At 39.7% G+C, this 23,629-nt stretch overlaps 1 protein-coding gene across 2 annotated transcripts in view, besides 2 other annotated features; it reads left to right on the top strand.

Moving 5' to 3' along the window:
- Positions 2,195 to 23,629, top strand: part of IRAK3 (interleukin 1 receptor associated kinase 3) — a 65,409-nt gene continuing 43,974 nt past the window's right edge. Inside the window, exons 1-4 of one of the 2 annotated variants that reach the window (NM_007199.3) lie at positions 2,195 to 2,413; positions 16,692 to 16,874; positions 22,437 to 22,501; positions 23,128 to 23,182. In NM_007199.3, coding sequence (NP_009130.2) covers positions 2,281 to 2,413; positions 16,692 to 16,874; positions 22,437 to 22,501; positions 23,128 to 23,182 — 436 coding nt within the window. In that variant the 5' untranslated portion in view covers positions 2,195 to 2,280. The remainder of the gene's footprint in view (positions 2,414 to 16,691; positions 16,875 to 22,436; positions 22,502 to 23,127; positions 23,183 to 23,629) is intronic. The other variant, NM_001142523.2, reaches the window with a different exon arrangement.
- Positions 2,300 to 2,349: a silencer, noted in NCBI's record as "silent region_4635". NCBI's record gives its function as "represses an Ori minimal core promoter by ATAC-STARR-seq in GM12878 lymphoblastoid cells {active_cell/tissue: GM12878}" and the evidence as "EXISTENCE:reporter gene assay evidence [ECO:0000049][PMID:35858748]".
- Positions 2,370 to 2,529: a silencer, noted in NCBI's record as "silent region_4636". NCBI's record gives its function as "represses an Ori minimal core promoter by ATAC-STARR-seq in GM12878 lymphoblastoid cells {active_cell/tissue: GM12878}" and the evidence as "EXISTENCE:reporter gene assay evidence [ECO:0000049][PMID:35858748]".

Consider the following 23,629-nt stretch of genomic DNA (forward strand, 5'->3'; position numbering starts at 1 on the left):
GCAGTTGATAGCAACCATGATGATACAACCTGATGATATAAAAATCAAAACTCAAGACAGTTTTAGGAATAGGAAGGCAACATGGTCTGAGAACGACTGCCAACACTGAAAATACAGGAAATTTCACATACTCTAGCTTTCACTTAGGATCCTTGCTTCTTGGTAAATTACAAGATCTGGTAAAGCAGGCCTTTCTGATTGCTTCCCTCATCTGCAGTGATTTCCTGTTTCCTCTGAGTGAGTTTGCCTCCCTGTAGTAGCAATTCAAAAGCTACCAAATAATTAATGGCCTTTTGCCTCTGTTGCTCAGCATGTTCAGGTAGTCCCTTTAAGAGATGTATAGAGGGCCGGGTGTGGTGGCTCATGCCTGTAATCCCAGAACCTTGGGAGGCCTAGGGAGGTGGATCACTTGAGCCCAGGAGTTTGAGACCAGATTGAGCAACATGGGAAAACCCCGTCTCTACAAAAACTACAAAGGTTAGCCAGGCATGGTGGCATGCACCTGTAGTCCCAGCTGTACTGGAGGCTGAGGTGGGAGGATGGCTTGAGCCCAGGGGGTGGAAGTTGCAGTGAGCCGAGATCGCACCATTGCACCCCAACCTGGGCAATCAGAGCGACTAAAAAAAACAAATAAGAAAGAAAGGAGGGAAGGAAGGAAGAAAGGAGGGAAGGAAGGAAGGAAGGAAGGAAGGTAGGTAGGTGTACAGTGTGTACAGATTGACAATAAAACCTTGAACAACGGGATATCGAAATTCTTGCCCACACAGTATGGGCTTTGCCAGTTTTCAGATACATTTTTATGAAGTATTTTCGCTGGCAAAACCATTCAGGTAGGGGCATGAAATGATAGTGTTTCATCACTCGTGATCTCTAGGGGCAGCTATTCCAAAGACTACAATCTGAGAGGTTTCAAAACACCTCTGGTGTTTTCACTTGATGGCCACTGCCCACTCTTCCAGTCACTAAGGCTGAGATTTTTCTCACCACTTTCAAAACAACTTTTTGTCACTGGTAACATGCCTCATGTGACCTAGAAGATTTTGAAACAACAATTTTACTTAAACTCCGTGAAGATTTCAAAACAACAATTTTACTTAAACTCCATGTTGAAGGCAAAAAGGAAGATTGTGTGAAGCACTTTGAGGAAGGAAAAAATGATGGAACGATATTTCATCAAGGAAGCCCATGAGGAAGAAAATTTATTAAAACCAAGTAGGTGTATGGAGGAGAGGCCGCCTCGTGAAGAAAACGAACATAATTTTACGCTGATTTGGTGTCTTTTCTGTTTTTCTCTTGTTGGTATCTACATTCATCTTTTCCAATAATAATCCCATATATGTACATTTTTATCTGTTTAAATTCAGTAAAAGTTGGGAGGAAAATGTGTCAAAACTTTTAGAGTGTGATGGGCTGAGTGGGGTTGTGAGTGATTATCTTCTTTTTTCAGTTTTTTTCTGGGTTTTCCAAGTGTTCCTCGATGAACATGGATAGTTTTTCTGACAGGATAAAAAAGAAGTAGTCCGGGACAGTGGCTAACACCCCGAATCCCAGCACTTTGGGAAGCCGGAGGTGGGAGGATCGCTTGAGGCCAGGAGTTTGAAACCAGCCTGGGCAGCATAACGACACTCCCTCTCTACGAAAAACGAAAAAAAATAATTAGCCGGACGTGGTGGCGTGCGACTGTGGTCCCAGCTACTCGGGAGGCTGAGGTGGGAGGATCGCTTGAGCCCAATAGGTGGAGGCTCCGTGAGCTGAGATAGCGCCACTGCGCTCCTGCCTGGGCGACAGAGTGAGAACCTGACTCAAAACAAAGAAAAAAGGAAGAAAAGAAAGGAAGGGAAGAAGGAAGGAAGGGAGAAGCTTTCAAAAATAAACTTTTGTAAGAAGTAATGACACCGCTAGCCGTCCACACCAGGAGACCGCCTAGCCGTGGGGCACGGTGGGCTCCTGGGAGCTCTGAGCTCTGGGCTTTCTCCAGTTCGCACTCTGCTTGTCTCGGCAGCTCCGTCCCCACCGCAGAGGTGTGAAGGGGCGCAAAGCCAGCGAAGGGAGAACCCGGGTCGGGTAACCCCCAGGCCTGGCCAGGCGGACGCAGGGGCATCTCGGGCGAGGCGCGCCTTGCGTCACGTGGGCACCGCCCCTGCAGTGACCGGAGAACGGCGTGTTCCTAGGGCTCTGCTGCCGTCGTGGAAGCAGGATTTCCGCGGTTGTGTAACGGCCTGTCGCAGGCGTGCAGGGACCTGGACTCCGCCTCGTCCCCGGGGCTCGGGCAGCCGAGCCATGGCGGGGAACTGTGGGGCCCGCGGCGCGCTGTCGGCGCACACGCTGCTGTTCGACCTGCCGCCCGCGCTGCTCGGAGAGCTCTGCGCTGTTCTGGACAGCTGCGACGGCGCGCTGGGCTGGCGCGGCCTGGGTGAGTCGGCGGGGACCGGCCGGGGGCGGCGGGGGAGCCCAGCGCGCCGCGGGGCCCGCTCGGCGTCGCCCTGCATGGCTGGGGTCCCTCGCGGGGCTGGCGCGGCCTCCGGGAAGTTCCCGCCAGGGAGCCGGCCCCCTCCTTTCCTGGGTTGGATGCAGAGACTCCCTGGGACCCAGATGCCTTCCCTCCCTTCTCTTTCAAAGAATTTTGGGTATCGCTGCAAAGTCAAGGGAGCCGAGGCCTGGGAAAGACAGATAACCAGCGTGAAAGCATCTTCTGTTCGTCCGCGATGCCACCCTCACTGGGTTCGCAATGTATGATGTCTTCTGGTCCTTGCAAAATCACCCCAGAACATCATTTTAGTATTGAGACATTTTTAGAACTTTGAGATACTTATCCTTTGGTGTTTTCAATGCATCCCTAAGCCCCTAACTTAATTACAAGTGAAATGCTAAAGTAAACTACGGTTTGCAATGAACGCGGCTCCTAATTTTCTTAATTAAATCTTATTTACCCAATTTCGTTGAATGAAGGTTTATGCTAAAGGGTGGCTTTTTATTTTAATCTAAAAAAATTGGCTTCAGAACTGTATTTTATGCAGACATTGGAAAGTTGAGCAACTGCCTGCTGGAAGTGTTGAGTGTAGCCAGAGATAATTCGGACAAAAATCTTCGTTTTGTTAAGTACAGGCATTTTTGGTTAGATTTGATATTCCACAATGTCATGTTTAATGTTTATTGAAAAGAATCATGATTATGTCAAAATAACTTAGCTTTAATGGTCTGAAATAGGATTTTTCTTACCAGGACTAGCAGAAGGCCTAAGAGGAGAGTTTTCTTTGTTACTGATGAACAGTATGGTGACAGTCTTTGAATTGTAGCAATGGGCTTCTGGTTATACAAAAAATGTTTATATATTTTAAGCTCTGTAATTTTAAGTTATGGCCCTTAAGAAAAAAAAAAAAGTCTGATTTCTAGAAAACGAGATTTCCAGTGTGCATTTGAGGGATTTTGAGGGATAAGGTCACTTCCCCATCAGATCTTTTTGAGATGGATTTTGGCGTGGACAGTATTTATACCCGTTGATTTCCTAGAGTTACTGACTTTGAGAAAGAAAAGTGTTTTTAGTCCAGTTTAATGTTGGTGAATGGGGCCAGGTGGGTGTGGTAAATTAGTGAGGCAGATTATTCTCTCTCTTTCTGTTGATAGCATTGAAATCCAGATATTCATGCTTTACATGGCTTGTCTCATATAACTTCTCCAATTACTCTGTGAGTCATTATCATCGCCAGTGTTTTTTTAACAGGTCAGGAAACTGGTACAAATTGGTTAAGTAACTTGTTCAGGTTCACCAGCTGGAAATGGAAGAGCCAGGATCTGAACCATGGTAGTCTGGATCCAAGGCTTATGTCCTTAACCCCAGCTACTCTACACTTCTCCCCTTACTGCTGTGTTCTTTCTGGCCACATCTAACAGCCTCCCTAAAGTACAGACATTTCTGGCATCAAAGAACAATTCAGTGATCCATTTCAAGCATGCAGCCCTATTTTCCTAGTGGTGAAAATGAATGAGGACCACCCAAATGAGAACAAACAAAAGCTATTTTTTTCAAAGCAAGGGAGCCAGCACCATTGCTTGTGTTTGGCAGAGACTCAAAAGCAGACAGAGGATGGAGGAGGGTGGGAGAAGAAGGCTTCAGCTGTGTCCTGATTGGAGGCTGTTGATATGGGGAAGCTGTAGTTGAGCTACCTAAAAGGGGGTATTTTGTGTGTTTGTTTAGGGGTACATAATTGGCTTTCTCTGGTTGGCCCTAAGTTGGAAGTAGGAGCAAAAATTGAGGAAGTGGTCAGTAATTATTCAAGTCCTGGCCATTTGAGACAGGTTGCTACAGGGGTTCTTGTTTGGCTGCCTGGGCTAGTTGCTACAGTTTAACCCAGTTACTGATAGTTTAACTTGTTAGATACTGTAGACGGTAGGTTGGTTTCTTGGACTGGTTGATGTACATTGCCTGCAGAGTTCTATTTTTATATATAAGCTGGCCATTGTCCCTTTGTGTATTCATTCTCTCACAGGGAAAGGGTCTAAAATGTTTACTCCATGATACTTCAGCTGTAATTCATTGTGCAGGTGGTCATGCCTACTGACTGCCTGGACTACTGAGCTGGCCCTGACCAGGTGCTGCACAAGTTCTTGGCTCAGCAAGAAGGCAAGGCTAGCCCAGTTCAGGGTGTTGAGGCAACTGCCTGTGCTAAACATGCCGAGTTTTCCTGTGGGCACAGCGAAGGGAGAAAGAGGGGAAGAGGTGCAGGTAGGGAAAACTTGACCTTCGAGAGGGGAAGGAGAGTGACAGAGGACTGAATCAAAGAGGCAGTCCTTTGTATGCTCAGGACAGCTGACAGCCCAAGCTTAAATGTAGAAAACAACTGTAATATACTAAGTAAAGCTCTCTCGAGCCGATCGTGATTCTTGATGACGGTGAGTGTCAGGTTATGTTTACAAAGGCAGCTCATATAGCAGCCTATATGATATGACCAGTGTGTGCAGGATAAGGTAAGCCAGTCATTCACAAACACAAATCACCTATGCAGTCTTTTAAATACACAGATGCAGGTCCCACTCCTAGAGCTGCTGATTCAGGAAGTCTGGGTTGAGGGTCCAGCTTCTTTCATTTTTTGTCAAGCCCCAGGAGTGAGTCTGAGGCACAACCTGATTGGTAAGCCATTGCTTAGGCCAAATTCTCTTTTTTAATAGTGTCTTCATATAACAGATATTTTACTACATTCTTTCATTACTTCATTTAATTACTTTTATTTTTAAACATATTCTACATAGTACTCTTCAAATCACTTTTGTCAAGTATTGTTATTAAAAATAATGTAATCACAAGATAATATATTCTGTGGTTATCATTGATGACTTTATGGCTTTTAGTGAAAGCAAGAGCCCAAAAGCCCAAATGAAATATGTTGTTTACGTTACAGACATGATAACGTAGTACATACAGAACCTCTGGAGACAACTCATCTGATTACATTACCATAGATTGGTATTTAAATTAAATTATTTGGAGCAGCTGACACCGTAAAAACCTCTCAACACTTACGATGTACTGAGAAACGCTTTTTGCAAATGATATATAATAGGCTGTATTCAATTTTCTTCCTCTCAAGAAAGAAAAGGGAAATTATTATATAAATCATTAATAATTACTTTAAAAATTAAATGTAAAATCACATTAAGTGTGCATTTGTATATTCAATAAAGATTCAAAATAATAGTAGTAATAATAATAAAGCTACCTCCTGTCAAGGCTTACTATTGGCCATTGTGGTAAGCATTTTACATGGATTATCTCATTTACTTATTACAACAATTCTATCAGGTAGACACTCTTCCTATTTCCATTTTATAGATAGGTGAACTGATTCTCAGAGAATTTAAGTAACTTGCCTTGAGTCACAGTCTTCTAAATGGCACACTAAGATTCTAACCAGATGATCAGACTGCATATTCTATGTTCTTTTTTTCTTTTCTTTTCTTTCTAAATTTTAAATAGATGTGTTTTTTTATGTTATTATTATCTTTTTTTTGAGATGGAGTTTCGCTCTTGTTGCCTAGGCTGGAGTGCAATGGCGCAATCTCAGTTTACCGCAACCTCCGCCTCCCGGGTTCAAATGATTCTCCTATCTCAGCCTCCCGAGTAGCTGGGATTACAGGCATGCACCACCATGCCCGGCTTAATTTTTTTTTGTATTTTTAGTAGAGACAGGGTTTCTCCATGTTGGTCAGGCTGGTCTCGAACTCCCGACCTCAGGTGATCTGCCTGCCTCAGCCTCCTAAAGTGCTGGGATTACAGGCGTGAGCCACCGCGCCTGGCCTAGATGTATTTTTTTAAGAACAGTTTTAAATTTATGGAAAAGTTTAGCAGATAGTAGGAAGAGTTCCCAGATACTCTACATCCTTAGTACACTCCGCACCCAGTTTCCCATTATTAACATCTTGCATGAGTGTGCTGCATTCATTACAATATTGACACATTATTATTAACTAAAGTCCATGCTTTATTCAGACTTCCTTTGCTTTTACCCGATGTCCTTTCTCTGTTCCAGGATCCCATTCAGGATACCACATTACATTTATTTGTCGTATCCTCTGGCTCTTCTTGGCTGTGATGGTTTCTCAGACTTTCCTCGTTTTGAGGAGTATTGGTTGGAACTTATCCACTATTTTGTAGACTGTTCCTCAACTGCGATTTGTCTGATGTTTTTCTCATGATCAGACTGAGGTTATGGATTTGGGGGAGGAAAACCATAAAGTACTGACCTGTATCCAGGGTCGGTACTATTTACAGGAGTTATCACTGCTTATGTTAACCATGGCTGAGATGGCATCTGTCAGATATCTGCCCTGTAAAATTACTTCACTTCCCTCTCTTTCTGTTTCTTACTTTTTGGAAGGAAGTCACCATATGCAGTAGAGCCTGCTTTTTTTGTGTTGCTGTTGTTGTTTTGGAGACGGGATCTCACTCTGTCATCCAGGGTGAAGTGCAGTGGCACAATCACAACTCACTGCAGCCTCGACCTCCCAGGCTCAAGTGATCCTTCCCACCTCAGACTCCCAAATAGCTGGGACTGCAGGCACATGCCACCACACCTGGCGAAGTTTTTGTATGGATGGGGCCAGGCTGGTCTCAAACTCCTGGGCTCTAGCAATCCTCCTGCTTCAGCCTCCCAAAGTGCTGGGATTACAGATGTGAGCCACCGCTCCCAGGTAAGCCTGGTTTTTTGACCACTGTGTTATTTCTGTCACAAGTTAGTTAGACAATGTTATGTCTAGCTCTCACTTCTCTAAGCTAACACCCCACTGCTCTGTTCCTCTTTGTGGTAATATTCCTCAAAAGGGCTATTTATACTCCAGGTCCTCCATTTTTCCTTGAACCCCTCCAGTCAGGGTTTCACCTCCCACCGCTCCATTGAAAGTCCTGTCATCTGAAGTCACTACAGCTAAATCCAATGGTTGGTTCAAAGTTTTGATCTTATTTGATATAGTTGATCACTCCTTTCTCCTTTCTTCTTGAAGTGCTTTCTCCGCTCTAGAACGTTACATGCCCCTGCCGGACGCGGTGGTTCACGCCGGTAATCCCAGCACTTTGGGAGGCTGAGGCGGGTGGATTGCTTGTGGTCAGGAGTCCGAGACCAGCCTGGACAACATGGTGAAACCCCGTCTCTACTAAAAATGCAAAAGATTAGCCGGGCGTGGTGGCAGGTGCCTGTAATCTCAGCTACTTGGGAGGCTGAGGCAGGAGAATCCCTTGAACCTGGGAGGCCAAGGTTGCAGTGAGCCGGGATCACACTACCGTACTCCAGACTGGGCGACAGAGCGAGACTCCTCTCAAAAAAAAAAAAAAAAAAATTACATGCTCCTTGATTTCTTCTCTTCTTATAGATTTATCTCAATGTCTTAGCGTGCCCCTGGGCTTAGTCCATGGACCTTGTCTCTTCTGTTTATCTGCTAAATTCACGTAAATTCAATCTATATACTACTCCCAAATTTCTAGCCCAAGTCTCCCTCTGGAATGTCATCTTCATCCATCTATTTGCCTATTTGACAGACATCTCCAATTTAACAGCTCAGAAATGCTCCCCCAGCCCTCCCAAAGTTTTCCCATCTCAGTAATGGCAGTTCCATTCTTCATTTGTTCAGGCCAAAAATATTAGCCTTTTGTGACTTGTCACTTTCTCTCACAAACCACATCCTATCTCTCAGTAAATAATGCTGCTGACTGTGCCTTCAGGATCTGTCTAATAATCTGACCATTTCTTACCACTGCCACCGTAACCATCTTGGCACCAACCACCATCGGTTCCCACCTCTACTATTTTAGCAGTTGGCTGACTGGGCTCAGACTCCCTGCTACTGCCCTTGACCTCCTTGAGTGTCTTTTCAGCCCAGCAGTCGGCAAGCCTGTGATGCCTGTAAAGCATATGCTATCATTGCCCTATTCAGAACCCTCTGGCGGCTTCCCAGGCCAGTCAGAGCAAACCCTGAAGTCCTGTGTGGCTTTTCTCACTTTCTTCTCCCTCTTGTTTGCTTGACTCCAACCACATTAGCCTCCTTGTTCCTTGAACACGCAAGGAACGTTCTTCCTGCCAGTAACCTGTAGGCTTGCTTCTTCACTTCCTTCATGTTTTTGTTTAACTATTACCTACTCTGACCACTCTTTTGTTTTGTTTTGTTTTTTTAAGACGGAGTTTCGCTTTTGTTGCACAGCCTGGAGTGCAATGGTGCAATCTTGGCTCTCTGCAACCTCTACCTCCCGGGTTCAAGAGATTCTCCTGCCTCAGCATCCCGAGTGGGATTACAGGCGCCTACCACAAAACCAGGCTAATTTTTTGTATTTTTAGTAGAGACGGGGTTTAACTATGTGGGCCAGGCTGGTCTCGAACTTCTGGCCTTAGGTGATCCACCCACCTCGGCCTCCCAAAGTGCTGGGATTACAGGTGTGAGCCACCACACCTGGCCATGGCCACTCTTTTAAAATTGACACCCCCCCCCACCACTCTCTTATGCCTCTTTTCCACTTTATTTTTCTCTATATCATTTATCACCTCTCACATACTTTATGTATGTAAGTATCTCTATGTATATATAAAATAAACTATATATATATGTAAACATATATATGTTTATTTGTTTATTCTTCATCTAGAAATAAGCTTCAAGGGAGCAGGGATATTTCCTTCCTTTGTTTCCTGCTGACTCTCTTAGCATCGAAAATTGTACTTGGCACAGAGCAGGCACTCAGTAAATATGTACATTCTGAATAAATTAATGAATCAACAAATGTCTATTAAAAACCTTGTTGGGTTGTCTATTAAAAACCTTGTTGGGCAGAATCTTTGATAAAGCACTGTAAATACAATGTCCTAGTCCCTGCTTGTAAGAATTTTCCAATTTAGTGTAGGCAACAGACCTATAAAAGTTTAACAAGGGAAGAATGTGTGGGGAAATAGTATTGATATTCACCTGGGAATGAAATTACATAGCTTCTGACTGAAACCTTGGTGTTGAGGGTGAATTATCTCCCAGAGGTAGTTAATGTTAGGTTCCTACCTGTGTCTAGGATTAAGAGAGCAGGACAGACAGAGGGGCACCTGAGAAGTCACACACAGCCCTCCGCAGTTATGAGTCCTACTCAGGCATGGGGTAAAACATACACATGAGCTTAAGTATGAATAAGAACTATTTCTTATAAAATATATTAACTAGTAAGTGTTAATGCTAACAGTCTGGTATGAAGAATAGATCTAACTTATAATTTTGACTTTTGTTTTACTCTTTTGGAATTAAAAATGTCTTTAACCTTAAAAGTTCTTTTAAAAAATTGTCTAATTTTTTGCATGCTTTGTAGAAAGAAAGAGACATCTTTCCTTTTTCCCTTACAGTGTCTAAAAACAAGCTTTGTGAGAATGGAGTCTTAATTTTGCAGGGGTTTTGGCATGTGGTTGTATGCAAATACAAAGATTCCAAATACGGATGTGTTGCATTATTTGAAAAAACCCCTTCAGAGACATATTTGCATATGGAGACGTGATTTCTGCAACTGAAAACAGTCAGTCCTGCACTCTCAAAACAGCCTTCAAGGACTTTTGAGCATCTGATTTCTGAACTTCTTAGGTTGACTTTTTGGCTTATGTGACTCCAATACGACTTTCAACAAAGATTTGTGTTCCAAAAAATGGTTTTAAACAATGCTTAACTAACAGCATGTTTTTCTTAATTTGTATTTTCAGTTTAGAATGCTTTTAACTTTATCAACATAATTAGTCATTGAGAACTTTTCTCTGTATTTTTATTTGATATGTACTGCGAGTAAACAAAGTCCTATATTCTGAAAGGGGACACGTAAGGGAGAGTTGAAGAAAATGATAAATATTGAAGAATGTAATTAACATGTTGAGAGTTTGCATTCCTGTTGTATCAGATTGGAGCTATTTTATAGAATTGGATCTAAATGAAGTATACATTTTATGGATGCTAAAAATACTCTTTAGCAATGTTTCTATTCAGAATGCATCATCATTAGAGAAAAGCTATTAAGGTTGCAGTGTGAATCACCAGTTGGAAAAAGAGAAAACATATTTCATTTCCAGTCCGGAAGCAATCCATGCATGCAGGCAGTATTCATTTTAACAGTCTGGATCAGTTTTTTACCATGAACTTCTGCTATTAGAAAAAATGCCTTTGTCTAATCTAGCTTTCCTTAGATGTGATGCAAACTCAGAACTATATGCCCCGGTCAATGTTAGAGACCCTAAAACCCCAGCTCATTTGGCATCTGTTCATTCATATTCCAGCTGAATCTCAGAAATGTGCTTAAGGGAAAGCATCTGATATTAGCAGTTTCTCAGCCAAGTCACAGGACGGGACATCCCAGAGTCATGGCCTGCTGCACTTTTAAAAGGGAAATTCAGGAATCAAAAAAAAAACAAACAGAGAATGGAATTTATGGAAAGTATGGAATGAAAAGCTGACATTCCCTGGGACTTGAAATGTTAACTCTGGATTTCCTTAATAGCTATAAACTGTGCCTTTCCTACTGTGGCAATTGTTGTGAGCTAGAACATGTTTATACCTTTTTATGTATAAATATTTTATCTGAGACTCCTGCTACTATTGCCACCCGATGCATCTTCCAAAAGGTAAAGCTTCCATCTTTGCATCACCTTCTCAGAAATCTGAATTGGTCCCATTGCTTTCAGAATGAAGTTAAGTTCATATGCTAACACTCAGGGCCTCTGTCTGTCAATCAGCAAAAATATATTGAACGTGTACTATGTGGCTAAGCATGTTTCTGCAGATACAAGGTAACATGGAGACCTCATGGAGCTTGTTCACCTTTTCTTTAACGTGAACACTCTGCTCCAAGCATTCTGGCCTTCCCTCTGCCCTCTTGTGTTGTCTTCACTGTTTCTGGAACAATTCCCCATTTGACATACCCTTTTCTATTCCTTTAGCCTAGTTAAACCTTACCCCACGACACGACACTTCTATTGCAAAGCTAGGTGGTATTTGGTTACCCTTCCTTTCCTTTCCTGGCTGTGGTAGTCCACAAAAGCATTTTCTCCCTTCAGTCTTGTTAAATTTTGTGCATATGTCTTATCCCAAAGTTTCAAAGGGTAGCAGGAACGATTTTAGCTTACAAAAGAAAAATGAAGAAGTCTATTATTTAAATATTCATTACTATGAATTTATATGATACAGGATGCCTAATACTATGTAAATATTAGTCAATTAATTTTCTTTTCCTTCTCCTTTTTTTTTTTTTTTTGTTTTTTGGAGGCAGAGTCTCACTCTGTCACCCAGGCTGGACTGCAGTGGTGCAATCTTGGCTCACTGTAGCTTCAACCTCCTGGGCTCAAGCTATCCTCCCACCTCAGCTACCGAGTAGTTAGGACTATAGGTGCATGCACACCACCAAGCCTGGCTAATTTTTAAATTTTTTTAGAGATGGGGTTTTGCCATGTTGCCCAGACTGGTCTTAAACTCCTGGGCTCAAGCGATGCTCTTGCCTTAGCCTCCCAAAGTGCTGGGATTACAGGCGTGAGCCACTACACCCAGCCTCGATTAATGTTCTAATAGAAAATGTGGAAACCTAAACTTTCCCTTTGCTGAAATTTGATATTTAGAGTTCTCTTGTTGGAATGTTCATTTTGAGAGTGGGAAGTGTTTTAAAGATAAGAGGTGTTATAATTAATTAACAGGCCAGGGAAGAGCAAGAAGATTTATTATATGTATTAGGTGGGACTACAAGAACATTTGTTATTAAGAAGTTTGAGATTGTTCAGTGAGGCTGTGTTTTGCCTGGAGTTGTGTCATAGGTCGATGGCAGTGCCACCACTAAATACATGTGTTCCTGTACTCACCCAGAGGCCCACGGGAATGCTCTGTTTTCACTAAGAACTTTTTTCCTTGGAAAGCAGGATAGTCTGCGGGGCTCAGACTCATTTATTTGTCTTGTTTTCAATCTGAAACTGTAGTGATTATTTTTTCCTCCCCAGGATAGTGTACTCTATCCAATACTTCTTTAAGAATTGGCCTCTCTTTGGAAGTACTCAGTTTTAGACATGGCATAGCTCAGGCTCCAGAAGCCACCCCTCCAGAAAGCCTTCCCTGCTGTTCTCATCTTTAGTTAGAGGCCTGTCTTCATGCTCAAACCACACTTAGTGCATACAATTACTGTATTACTGGCATATAGCAGATACTCAACAAATGTTTGAACTACACTGATTTGCAGTATTTCTCTTAAGAGTTTTTAGAAATAGCTAAATAAAGTGTTTATAAAAAATGTGCCTCAATGATATAGGCAGATTACCTCATCAGAAAGAAATATATTAAAATAACATTACCATATTTGGCTAATATTTTTGCTTTTTAAAGGCTTCCTTTTAAAAATGATAAGCTATCTAAAACATATATTGGCATTTGGATAGTCTTTGCCTCTGTGAAACATCATCTCTTCAAAGAGATGAGGAATGAATATATTCTTGCCAGAACTTGAAATATGGAGGAAGGGCAAAGACATTCTAACTCAATGATGTCAGACATTTTATTCTAGCTATTTTTCTTTCCTTACAGCCTAAACATGCATTGAAATAGAATGTCTCAACTTTATCTTCTCTTGTTTGATATGTAATTGCAAATGCTGCCACTCTATTTAACTCTGTTCTGGTACAAGTTGTAACAGAGTAACAAAATTCAAGATATGACCTTGTGTATATCAGTCAGGATAAACTAAGTTATGCTGCAGTAACAAGCAGCACCAAAAATCTCAGTGGTTTAACATAGCAGAGGCTTACTTTTTGCTCCCAGGAAGAACACTGAGAGTCCAGCAAACTCTCTTCCATGTAGTGACTCAGCATTTCAGGCTGCTTTGATCTTGAGGCAGCCCCCTGTCAACTTGTAGTGAATTGTGCCCTGGTTCTTCAGTGTTTCTGGCTGGAAGAGACACAGAGGCATGCCTAACCTGAAAGGGCAGGGAGATGGAATCCTCTATGATGGGATAGAGGGTTGGAAGTATTGGCAGCACTAGTAATGTCTACCGGGTCAATTTTTAGCTCATAGAAAGAGGGCCAGTCATGGTTTCATATTGTGAACACTTTCAATTTTCAGGATTTACTCACAGCCTCAGTGGGAGCATAAAGTTGAGGTAAATTGAATATTCCAGCAAAGGCTTATACAACGAAAAATTGGGCATGGGGGGGATGCCATATTAAGGCAGAAGATATTTGCCTTTCTGCTGGCTTGATTTCAAATATTATAACTGGTGTAGAAACTCCCTAAGAAATTAATGACCTTTGGACTCTAAAACAGACTTTTGTGTGTTTGTGTGTGGAAACAGAGTCTCACTCTGTTGCCTAGGCTGGAGTGCAATGGCGTGATCTCAGCTCACTGCAACCTCTGCCTCCTGGGTTCAAGTGATTCTCCCACCTCACCCTCCTGAGTAGCTGGGACTACAAGTGCACGCCATCACACCTGGCTAATTTTTGTATTTTTGTATTTAGTCAAGATGGGGTTTCACCATGTTGGCCAGGCTGGTCTCAAACTCCTGACCTCAAGTGATCCTCCCGCCTTGGCCTCTCAAAGTGCTAGAACTACAGATGTGAGCCACCACGCCTGGACCCAAAACAGACTTTTAACAGAAGAAAGTTTCACAAGACTTATCATTTTTCTGAGATCTGAACAACCATTGCCTTTTAAAAGCACATCTGCCTTTGAAGTCTCCCATTGGTGGACAGGGGAGTCCTATCTCCTATGAGACCACCTTGGTTCCTGCTGGAGGGCAGCTTCCACATATTGGTGTGTGGCAGGATGAAAGGATGCTGAGCTCCTAAAGCCAGTTATGGTGGTGTGTCAGGGGTCCCCCGTGACCACCTTCAGATAACAGTGGGATTTTATCCAGAGACTTGCATCCAGGATCCTAAATTTTTTAGTTTCTCTGGAAGGTAAAGTTATGAAAGGATGGTGCCATCACCACCAAAAGCCCAAAACACATTGTTAATTTTAGTGCTCAATATTCCAGATTGGGAATATTATCATAGGAACAAGACCACCTTTTCTGTCATTTGCTTTCTTTCTCCCCGCTTTGCCTCAAAGTACACTTTAAAATTTGGAAGTTGTGCAGAAAGGCAATATAAATTTTTGCTTGAAGAATCCTGTTAAATCAGGGCACCATAAAAACTCATATACTTTCTGTACAGTTTTAAGATGTTTATGCCAAACCTTAATTGAATTATTTAAAGCCTAGTATGCTAGTAAAACATTTCCCTGATTTTACCCAGATATTAGCTTTTAATTGCTCAAAAGTGTTCAATGGGAAGACAGGGGGAACAAAACACCATTTCTCAAACCTTCAACAGCTGAATCTAACTGTATTACGAATGAATAATAACCACACTGAAGGGGTGAGGAAGAAAAGAATTAATCTAAGTACTTTGGAACACAGCATCTTAACTGGATGCGCTTATGCTAAGGACAGAAATAATTATTGTGTTCTGATTTTGCTAATGTGTGTCTCACAGGGGTATGGGTTGGCAATTCTGAAAGCACTTTATGTGCATTGTAGAATTAAACAAATGAGTAAATATATTATCAATAATATTACTGTTCAAGAATAAAGTTACAAATGAGGAAGGACTGAAATATACCCTGTGATGTTGGATTAGAATCAGAAGCATCAGAATAAATTCTTGGTATTTAATATAAGCGCCTACTGATAGAGGAATAGAGATCCACGGATGAGTGTACATACCTACATTTCCTTGCTCTGTGCTCTTGGAGGGCCTAGAAGCAATGGAACCCTGGCCACAATGAGCAATTCTGGCACCAGGATTGAGCTTCTATACACCATTGTCCAATCAAGAAACCAGAGATCATTAGACAAATAATTCCAGTCCTGGAAAGGGGAAAATACAAAATGAGCCTGGAGCACCTTGTAGAGCCAGAAAATAAGGAGATACTCACAAAAAGATAGGGCTTGTCAAAAGAACACAAAAGGCCTGCCGTGGTAGTTCTCACATGTAATCCCAGCACTTTGGAAGGCCAAGGCGGGCAGATTGCTTGAGCTTGATCCTAGGAGTTTGAGACCAGCTGGGGCAGTGTGGCAAAACCCCATCTCTACCAAAAAAGAAAAAAAAAACCCACACAAATACAAAAATGTGCTGGGCATGGTGGTGCAGTGCACACCTGTAGTTGCAGCTACTTGGGAGGCTGAGGTGGGAGGATTGCTTGAGCCTGGGAGATGGAGGCTGCAGTGAGCTGAGATTGCCCCACTGTGCTCCAACCTGGGTGACAGAGTGAGATGTTGTCTCAAAAAAATAAAATAAAAATAAAAGGAAAAAAAAAAAGAACACAAGAGCCAACCAACCTATTGGACAAAGCTAGAATAATTTTAGCAACAAAATTATTAATGATAGTACTGGATTTTAACCTGTATGGTAAAATAAATATCCATGAGCCCATAGATATAAATAAACAACTGGATAAATAAATAAATAAATGTAGGAGAAGGGACAGCTGTTTCTTACCAAACAGTTCATGAAGGAAAAAGGGAAAATAGAAAAATCACCATTAAGCAAATATTGTAGTAATAATTGTGATAAATAAGATCCACTGGTGGATGCAAATATTAGTGGCCCAAATCTGAGGAGAAGCAGAGTATTTCCATAATCTCAAAGTATCTTCCCCGAAATATTTATTAATTATAAAGAGAAAGATAATTTTATAGTAGAGAAGCTCTGCAGACAGTCCCTTCACTGAATGATAAAAATAAACATTATTATTGATAAGACATTGCTATCTTAAACCTCTTGATATTATGCACTGAGAAGGACAATATCATTTCACTGTCCTGAAAGACAAGGAAAGACTGAGGGACCATCATAGATTGGAGGAGATTAAGGAGAAGGAACAATTAAATATAATATGGAAAACTGGATAGGATCTTAGAACAGAAAAGAGGCATTAGTGGAAAAACTAGTGAAATTAGAATAAGGTTTGCAGTTATCACTGATTCTGATCATTGTATTGTGGTTAGTAAGATGTCAACATTAGCAGAAGGCAGGTGAATATATTCCAAATTAGTTCAAAATAAAAGTTATAAATAAGAGGAAAGTTAAAGTTATAAATAAGAGGAAATAAAACATTAGGTACACAAAAACAAGTATTTTGATAAAAGTACAGTAAACAATTCTTTGTTTATATTGCAATTTCCACAGCAGAGAGACTTTCAAGCAGCTGGCTGGATGTTCGTCATATTGAAAAGTATGTAGACCAAGGTAAAAGTGGAACAAGAGAATTACTTTGGTCCTGGGCACAGAAAAACAAGACCATCGGTGACCTTTTACAGGTCCTCCAGGAGATGGGACATCGTCGAGCTATTCATTTAATTACAAACTATGGTAAATGCTGATTCTTATAATGTGGCTCTTAATCTGTAATAGGAACTGTAATTTGTAAATTCGAATATTGCATTTTATCCAAGACATTGACTCATGCTCTGTGTCAGTGTTTCCTTACCTGTGGCTTTTATCTGGAAGGGACTTTCCAGCTTCACATTTTCTTGTGACACTTTCTTCCCTTATCACCTAACTTATACAACATATTTCTTTCTATCACTTTATAGTTTTGTTTTTTTAACTTACTTTTACTTACAAACTACACTTTTAAAAATGTTTCATTTTTAGCAGTTAATAGAATCAGCTCTCTGTCAAAAACTCTGAAACTCTTTGAGTCATAAACAGTTGGAATCACAATATTTGAGATACAGATCATGCTATTCTTTGTTTTACTATATATTACAAGTTAAAAATATAATTGTATTTTCCCCCATATTTAATATTTTATATTGTACCTACCTCCAGAATAATCTGGGGATGTTTCTTTTATCTTCACTGCTGTTTTTACACCACAGCGTTTAACCCTGCCTTACTTGTTACTACCCATTCCACAGTAGCCTAATTCTTCCCTTTGTCTTCTCTATTTCTGGGTCTGTGTCATGCCTTATATTTAGAACAACATGATCAATAAAGTTCATGAAGTTTTCTCCATTTATTCTTTGTCAGTGAAATAATCTAACATCACCTGTTCTGTTTGTTCCACTTAGATGTATTCATTTCAACAATAATGATCTTGGGTCTTATGTTATAGACCCAAGGCTCTTAGATTGGAAACTCTTTTGAATCAACATCTTTATTCTTTGGCTCTTTTCATAGATCGCATTTTTAGTTTTGTGTATTTGCACACATGTTCTTTGGTAATATATTTAGTGCGCATGAGCCCTTGCGCACACACACACACACACACACACACACACACACACACACACAAGGAATCCTGAGAGATTTGTACCAGAAAACTGTAGCTTCACATTGACTTTTATTTTGATCTTTCCTATTATTGGGATATTAGTTCCTAATAGACTTCCACCATGATATTATTCATATAACTTGGCTAATTCCCTTTGTCTTTTGCACATTGTTTCTTCACTTAGTTTAGGGCAGCAGAATACTTCACTGTGAAGTTGACTGAGCAAGTGAAATTCAGTGAGTCCCTGGGAACTGTAAATGCAATGCCTTTTCATTATCTGAGCCTTTCCCAGCCACTGAAACCACCCACATGGCTTGCTGTTCACAATACAAACTTACGCCACTTTAATAGGACACACAGGTATGTTTTATACTTCAGTGTTCTGGAATAAATTTTAGGGTATATTTTCACTCTCTATGTTGTTTATTTGTGCAGCAGAGAATAATGTGGACTGTAAGTAGACAAAAATTCCACATTCTTGGTTGACTCTTAGTCTGTTGCACATGCAACATTTATTTTTCTTTTTTTGATGTGAGATTAGCCGATTGGTAAAAAGACTTTACTGCCCTAGTACAAAGAGATAGGTAAATCTGAAGTGAAGAGGAGGATAGCACCTTACTTCTTTACTAAAGAAAATAGCATTATTTAATTGTAATTGATTGAGTTGATGTTTCAAATTAAATAACAATTTTGAAAAAGTTAATTATGTAGTTGTTAAAAGTGAGATGTGATGATTTGTTGGAAGCATAAGTGTAGCTTGCTCAACAGGCGTTTCCTATCATAGCTACTCATTAAATTAGGAGTTGGAGCTCCTAACTAAAGATGCATAAAATGATTTAGTCCTTCTATGCTGCCACCGTGGACAGATTTATCAGTTATCTAAATAATCAGTTATTGCCCACCTTTCCTTGCAATTTTATTCTGTTTTGTGGAACTGATTTTATTTTAGAAGAATTTGGGGCTTTTATATTCCAGCTTCCAGGCATCACTTTGTAGATTTGGATTTTCCTAGTCATATTGAAATGGGCCTTTTATTTCCTCCCAGGTACTATGCCTACAATTCAGGTTGCTGCTGCTAGGTGGTTTCTTCACATCAGTAAAGCATTCTCTCAGATCTCAGGACATAACAAAATTGCTCAAGAAACTAGAATCTCTATTTTTTGTTATTATATTTCTGGCATGCATGTCCTTATGTATCACATTTTGTATTTATAATTCAATGTTCAGCAATTGTTTTCCAGTTTTGACACAAAATTCGCAGCTTTCTACTGGCTTCTTCTTAAGAGAGACATTTTCAATCTTCCATTTTATATGACAATGAAGGATTCTCTCTCTTTTCACAAACAGCAAAAGAAATAATGACTTTTAGTGCCCATACAGCCCCCAGATTTCACATTTTTTTCTACACAAATTCAGTATGTTTGTTATTTTTTCTTCTTGCCTAGTTGCCCTGGCTAGAACCTTTAGCATGTTGAGTAGAAGTGGCAAGACCAGACATCCTTATCTTGTTCCTGACCTTAAGGGTAAAACATTCAGTCTTTCATGATTAGTGATGTTAACTGTCGGTTTTTTGTAGATGGCCCTTATCATATTGAGGACATTTTCTTCTGTTGGTAGGGCTTTTATCATGATAGGGTGTTGGATTTTTCAGATGCTTTTTTGTCATCTATTGAAATGAACATGTGTTTTTTGTCCTTCATTCTGTTAATGTGGTGTATTACATTGATTGATTTTCAGATATTAAACAAATCTTGGATTCCTGGGATAAATCCCATTTGGTCATTGTATCTAATCCTTACATGCTTCTGGATTCAGTTTGCCAGTATTTTGTTGAGGATTTTTGCATCTATATTTGTAAGAGGTATTGGTCTGTTGTTTTCTTGTAATGTCTTTATCCGGCATTGGTATCAATAATACTGGTCTCATAAAATGATTTGGGAATTGTTCTATCTTTTTCTATTCTGGAAGAATTTGTGAAGGACTGGTGTTAATCTTCTTTAAATGTTTGGTAGAATTCACCTGTGAAGCCATCTAAGCCTCGGCTTTTCTTTGTGGGACGTTTTAAAGTACTAGCTCAATCTCTTGTTATGAGTCCATGTATATTGTTTATTTTTGCTTGAGTTAGTTTCAATAGTTTGTGTCTTCCTAGAAACCTGTCCATGTCATCTAAGTTATCTAGTTTTTTGGCATATCATTGTTCATAATATTCCTTTATAATTCCATTTATTTCTGTGAGGTCAGTATTGATGTCCCCCCTTTTATTCTTGATTTTAGTAATTTGAATCTCTTTCTTGGTCAGTTAAGCTAAAAGATTGTCAATTTTAATGATCTTTTCAAAAAAACAATTTTGGTTCTATCGAGTTTTCTTTTTAAAAAATCTTCTATTTCGGCCAGGCGAGGTAGCTCAAGCCTGTAATCCTGGCACTTTGGGAGGCCGAGGCAGGCAGATTGCCTGAGCTGAGGAGTTCGAGACCAGCCTGGGCAAAACGGTGAAACCCTATCTCTACTAAAATACAAAAAAATTAGCTGGGCGTGGCAGCATGCGCCTGTAGTTGCAGCTATTCAGGAGGCTGAAGCAGGAGAATTGCTTGAACCTGGGAGGTGGAGGTTGCAGTGATCTGAGATTGCACCACTGCACTCCAGCCTGGTTGACAAAGTGAGACTCCATCTCCAAAAAAAAAAACAAAAAACAGCAAACAAACAAAAAAATTCCTCTATTTCATTTATTTCTAATCTTAATTATTTCCTTCCTTTTGCTTGCTTCAGTTTAGGTTGTGCTTCTTTTTCTAGTTCCTTAATGTGAAAGTTTAGTTTACTGATTTGATGCCTTTCTTCTTTTTTTAAGGTAGGCATTTGCAGCTATAAATTTCCCTCTAAGCATGGCTTTTGCTGCATCTCATAACTTTTGATATGTTGTGTTTTCATTTTCATTCATCTCAAGGTATTTTCTAATTTCTCTCATGACTTCTTTTTTAATTCATTTGTTATTTATGATTTTGTTGTTTAATTTCCAGATACTTGTGAATTTCCCAAATTTCCTTTTGCTGCTGATTTGTGCTTGTATTTCAATATGATCAGAAAATAGACTTTGTATGATTTTAATCCTTACACATGTATTTGAGGTTCATTTAATTGCCTAAGGTCAGGTCTGTTCTGGAAAATGTTCAATTTATACTTGAGAAATATGTGTATATTTTGGTTTTGGATGGAATGTTCTATAGATGTCTGTTAAGTCTAGCTGGTTTATAGTGTTATCAAGGAAATTTGTTATTGATTGGTTATGCTTTCTTGCTAGTTTTCTAAGCAAAATAATTTAAGAAACACTAGAAGATAATCTAGAAAGAAGAAAGCTAGACTAGAAAATGAAAGTTTTCTAGTCTGAGACAAAATGTTAGAAATGACAGCAAAATATGGCAGGGTTTTACTCTTTTGTAGGAAGCTACATAAATTACCTCAGTCCAGACAGCACTCTACCACATAGAAGTTATAGTCGACATTTGGGGTGGTAAGTATTTGTCATTGATACACACACACACACACACAAACACACACACACGCACACACACCACCTCCAATACTTTATGGCACAAGATGATATAAAAAAATAAACTAACCCAGGAAGATATAATATCATAATTGTAACATTTAAAAATATATGTGCAAAAATGCTGATAATACAGCTGGGCGCTGTGGCTCATGCCTGTAATCCTAGCACTTTGGGAGGCTGAGGCAGACAGATCACTTGAGCTCAGGAGTTTGAGACCAACCTGGCCAACATGGTGAAACCCTGTCTCTACTAAAAATACAAAAATTAGCTGTGCATGGTGGCAGGGGTTTGTAATCCCAGCTACTCAGGAGGTTGAGGCAGGAGAATCACTTGAACCCAGGAGGCGGAGGTTGCAGTGAGCCAAGATTGCACCACTGCACTCCAGCCTGGGTGACAGAGCGAGACTCTGTCTCAAAAAAAAAAGAAAAAAGGCCCAGTGTGGTGGGTGGCTCATGCCTGTAATCCCAGCACTTTGGGAGGCCGAGGCAGGCAGATCTCTTGAGGCCAGGAGTTCGAGACTAGCCTGGCCAACATGGTAAAACCCCATCTCTACTAAAAATACAAAAAAAATTAGCCAGGCATGCTGATAGGTGCCTGTAATCCTGGCTACTTGGGAGGCTGAGGCAGGAGAATCACTTGACATTCTCAAGTGGAGGCAGAGATTGCAATGAGCCGAGATCATGCCACTGTACTACAGCCTGGGCGAGAGTGAGAGTCCATCTCAAAAAAAAAAAAAAAAAGGCTGATAATTTTTTTTAAATTTTCTTCTTTGTGCTTTAATATTTTTAATGTCTAACAACAATTTGTCTTATTACTTGTTTATTATTTAATTATTTAAATTATTTAAAGTTAATAATAGATTAAGGCAACTACTTATGTTTTAAGTGAACAAAAGTATGTTTGTATAACATTTGTTAATTAGAAAGCTATTTCACAAATATAATACTTCACAAATAATACTTTCACAAATTTATCGTAATGTTGCATGGGAATGAAACTTTAGAAATGAACAATGGCTAGCAAGACATTTATTTTCAGAGTCTCAGAAAGGAAAAACATTAGGGACATAAAATTTTTTTGTATCTACCTTCCCATATTTCTCTTTCAGGAGCAGTGTTGAGTCCTTCAGAGAAGAGTTATCAGGAAGGTGGATTTCCAAATATATTATTCAAGGTAGAGTATGTGTGCATAGAAAATGAGCCTTGAACTTTGTTGCATGTATAATTGAGCATAAGGAATGAAATTAGCAGGCAGAAAAATGCTGGATTTGCCGGCACTTTTTAAAAATCAGAAATGCCTTTGTTCTCTCATTATTCTCTATTTAGTTGAGGATTTAGGAAATTAGAGATTTATAAATATTTGAGAAATTAAGAGCTTTCTGTTCTCAGTGATCTGTCAGAGATGAGACTGAGAACTACTAAGGATGCTGTGATTTATACATTTGTCTTAACTCAGCTTTTAATTTTCCTTTTTTGGTTGGTGTTTTGCATGTCACTGTTAGTTTTTATTAGAGCAAACTAGCAGTGATCATTTTTATAGCATTAAAAGTAATTTAAAATTGACTTTGACTGACTATGACATTGAAACTTGAGTTTTTACTGTTGGTGTGAAAGCCTTAAATATGGCAATGAATGCTATTAAATAAAGTGAAATAACTTTGATTTCTGCTAGCTTTCTTTTAAATTAGGTTGCACTCTGTTGCACTGCATAGTCCCCAGGGAGCTTTGGATTTGTGTTGAGGCTCTGTTCTTTCTAGATGTATGAAATGGAATTACTTTAGTATATATTTCTTCTCTTAGGAAACAGCCAATGTCACCGTGGATAATGTTCTTATTCCTGAACATAATGAAAAAGGTATGAAAAAACCAGTTTTTTTCCAACAATTTTTTTAAAATCATACTTTCATTTAAGTGAATTAAGAGGGAGAAATACCCAATAAACACAATAATCATTTATATTCAAATTCGGTATAAAATTTCATAGATATTAAAATAACTTCAATTTGATTGACACTTATAGTTCTAATAGATGATATGTTATTATGTTAAGGCTCCATTGGCTAATGAAGAATGCAATTGTGGTCTCTTCACACGGGGGATATTTTAGTTTTTTGTTGGTAAAATTTGCTATGTTTGTGTGTCATGGGAAAACATTTTTAAAATTATGTTGAGATTTATATAGTTTTAGAAATGCTCACAGCAATTACAGAAATCTTTCAAGATGATTGTAGAGCAATGCTGAAGGTCAGTATGAAAATCTAGTTATCTTCCATATCAACTTTCCTACTTTATTAGTAGGAAG

Source organism: Homo sapiens, chromosome 12 (assembly GCF_000001405.40).
Source record: "Homo sapiens chromosome 12, GRCh38.p14 Primary Assembly".
In the NCBI taxonomy this organism is placed as follows: Eukaryota; Metazoa; Chordata; class Mammalia; order Primates; family Hominidae; genus Homo; species Homo sapiens.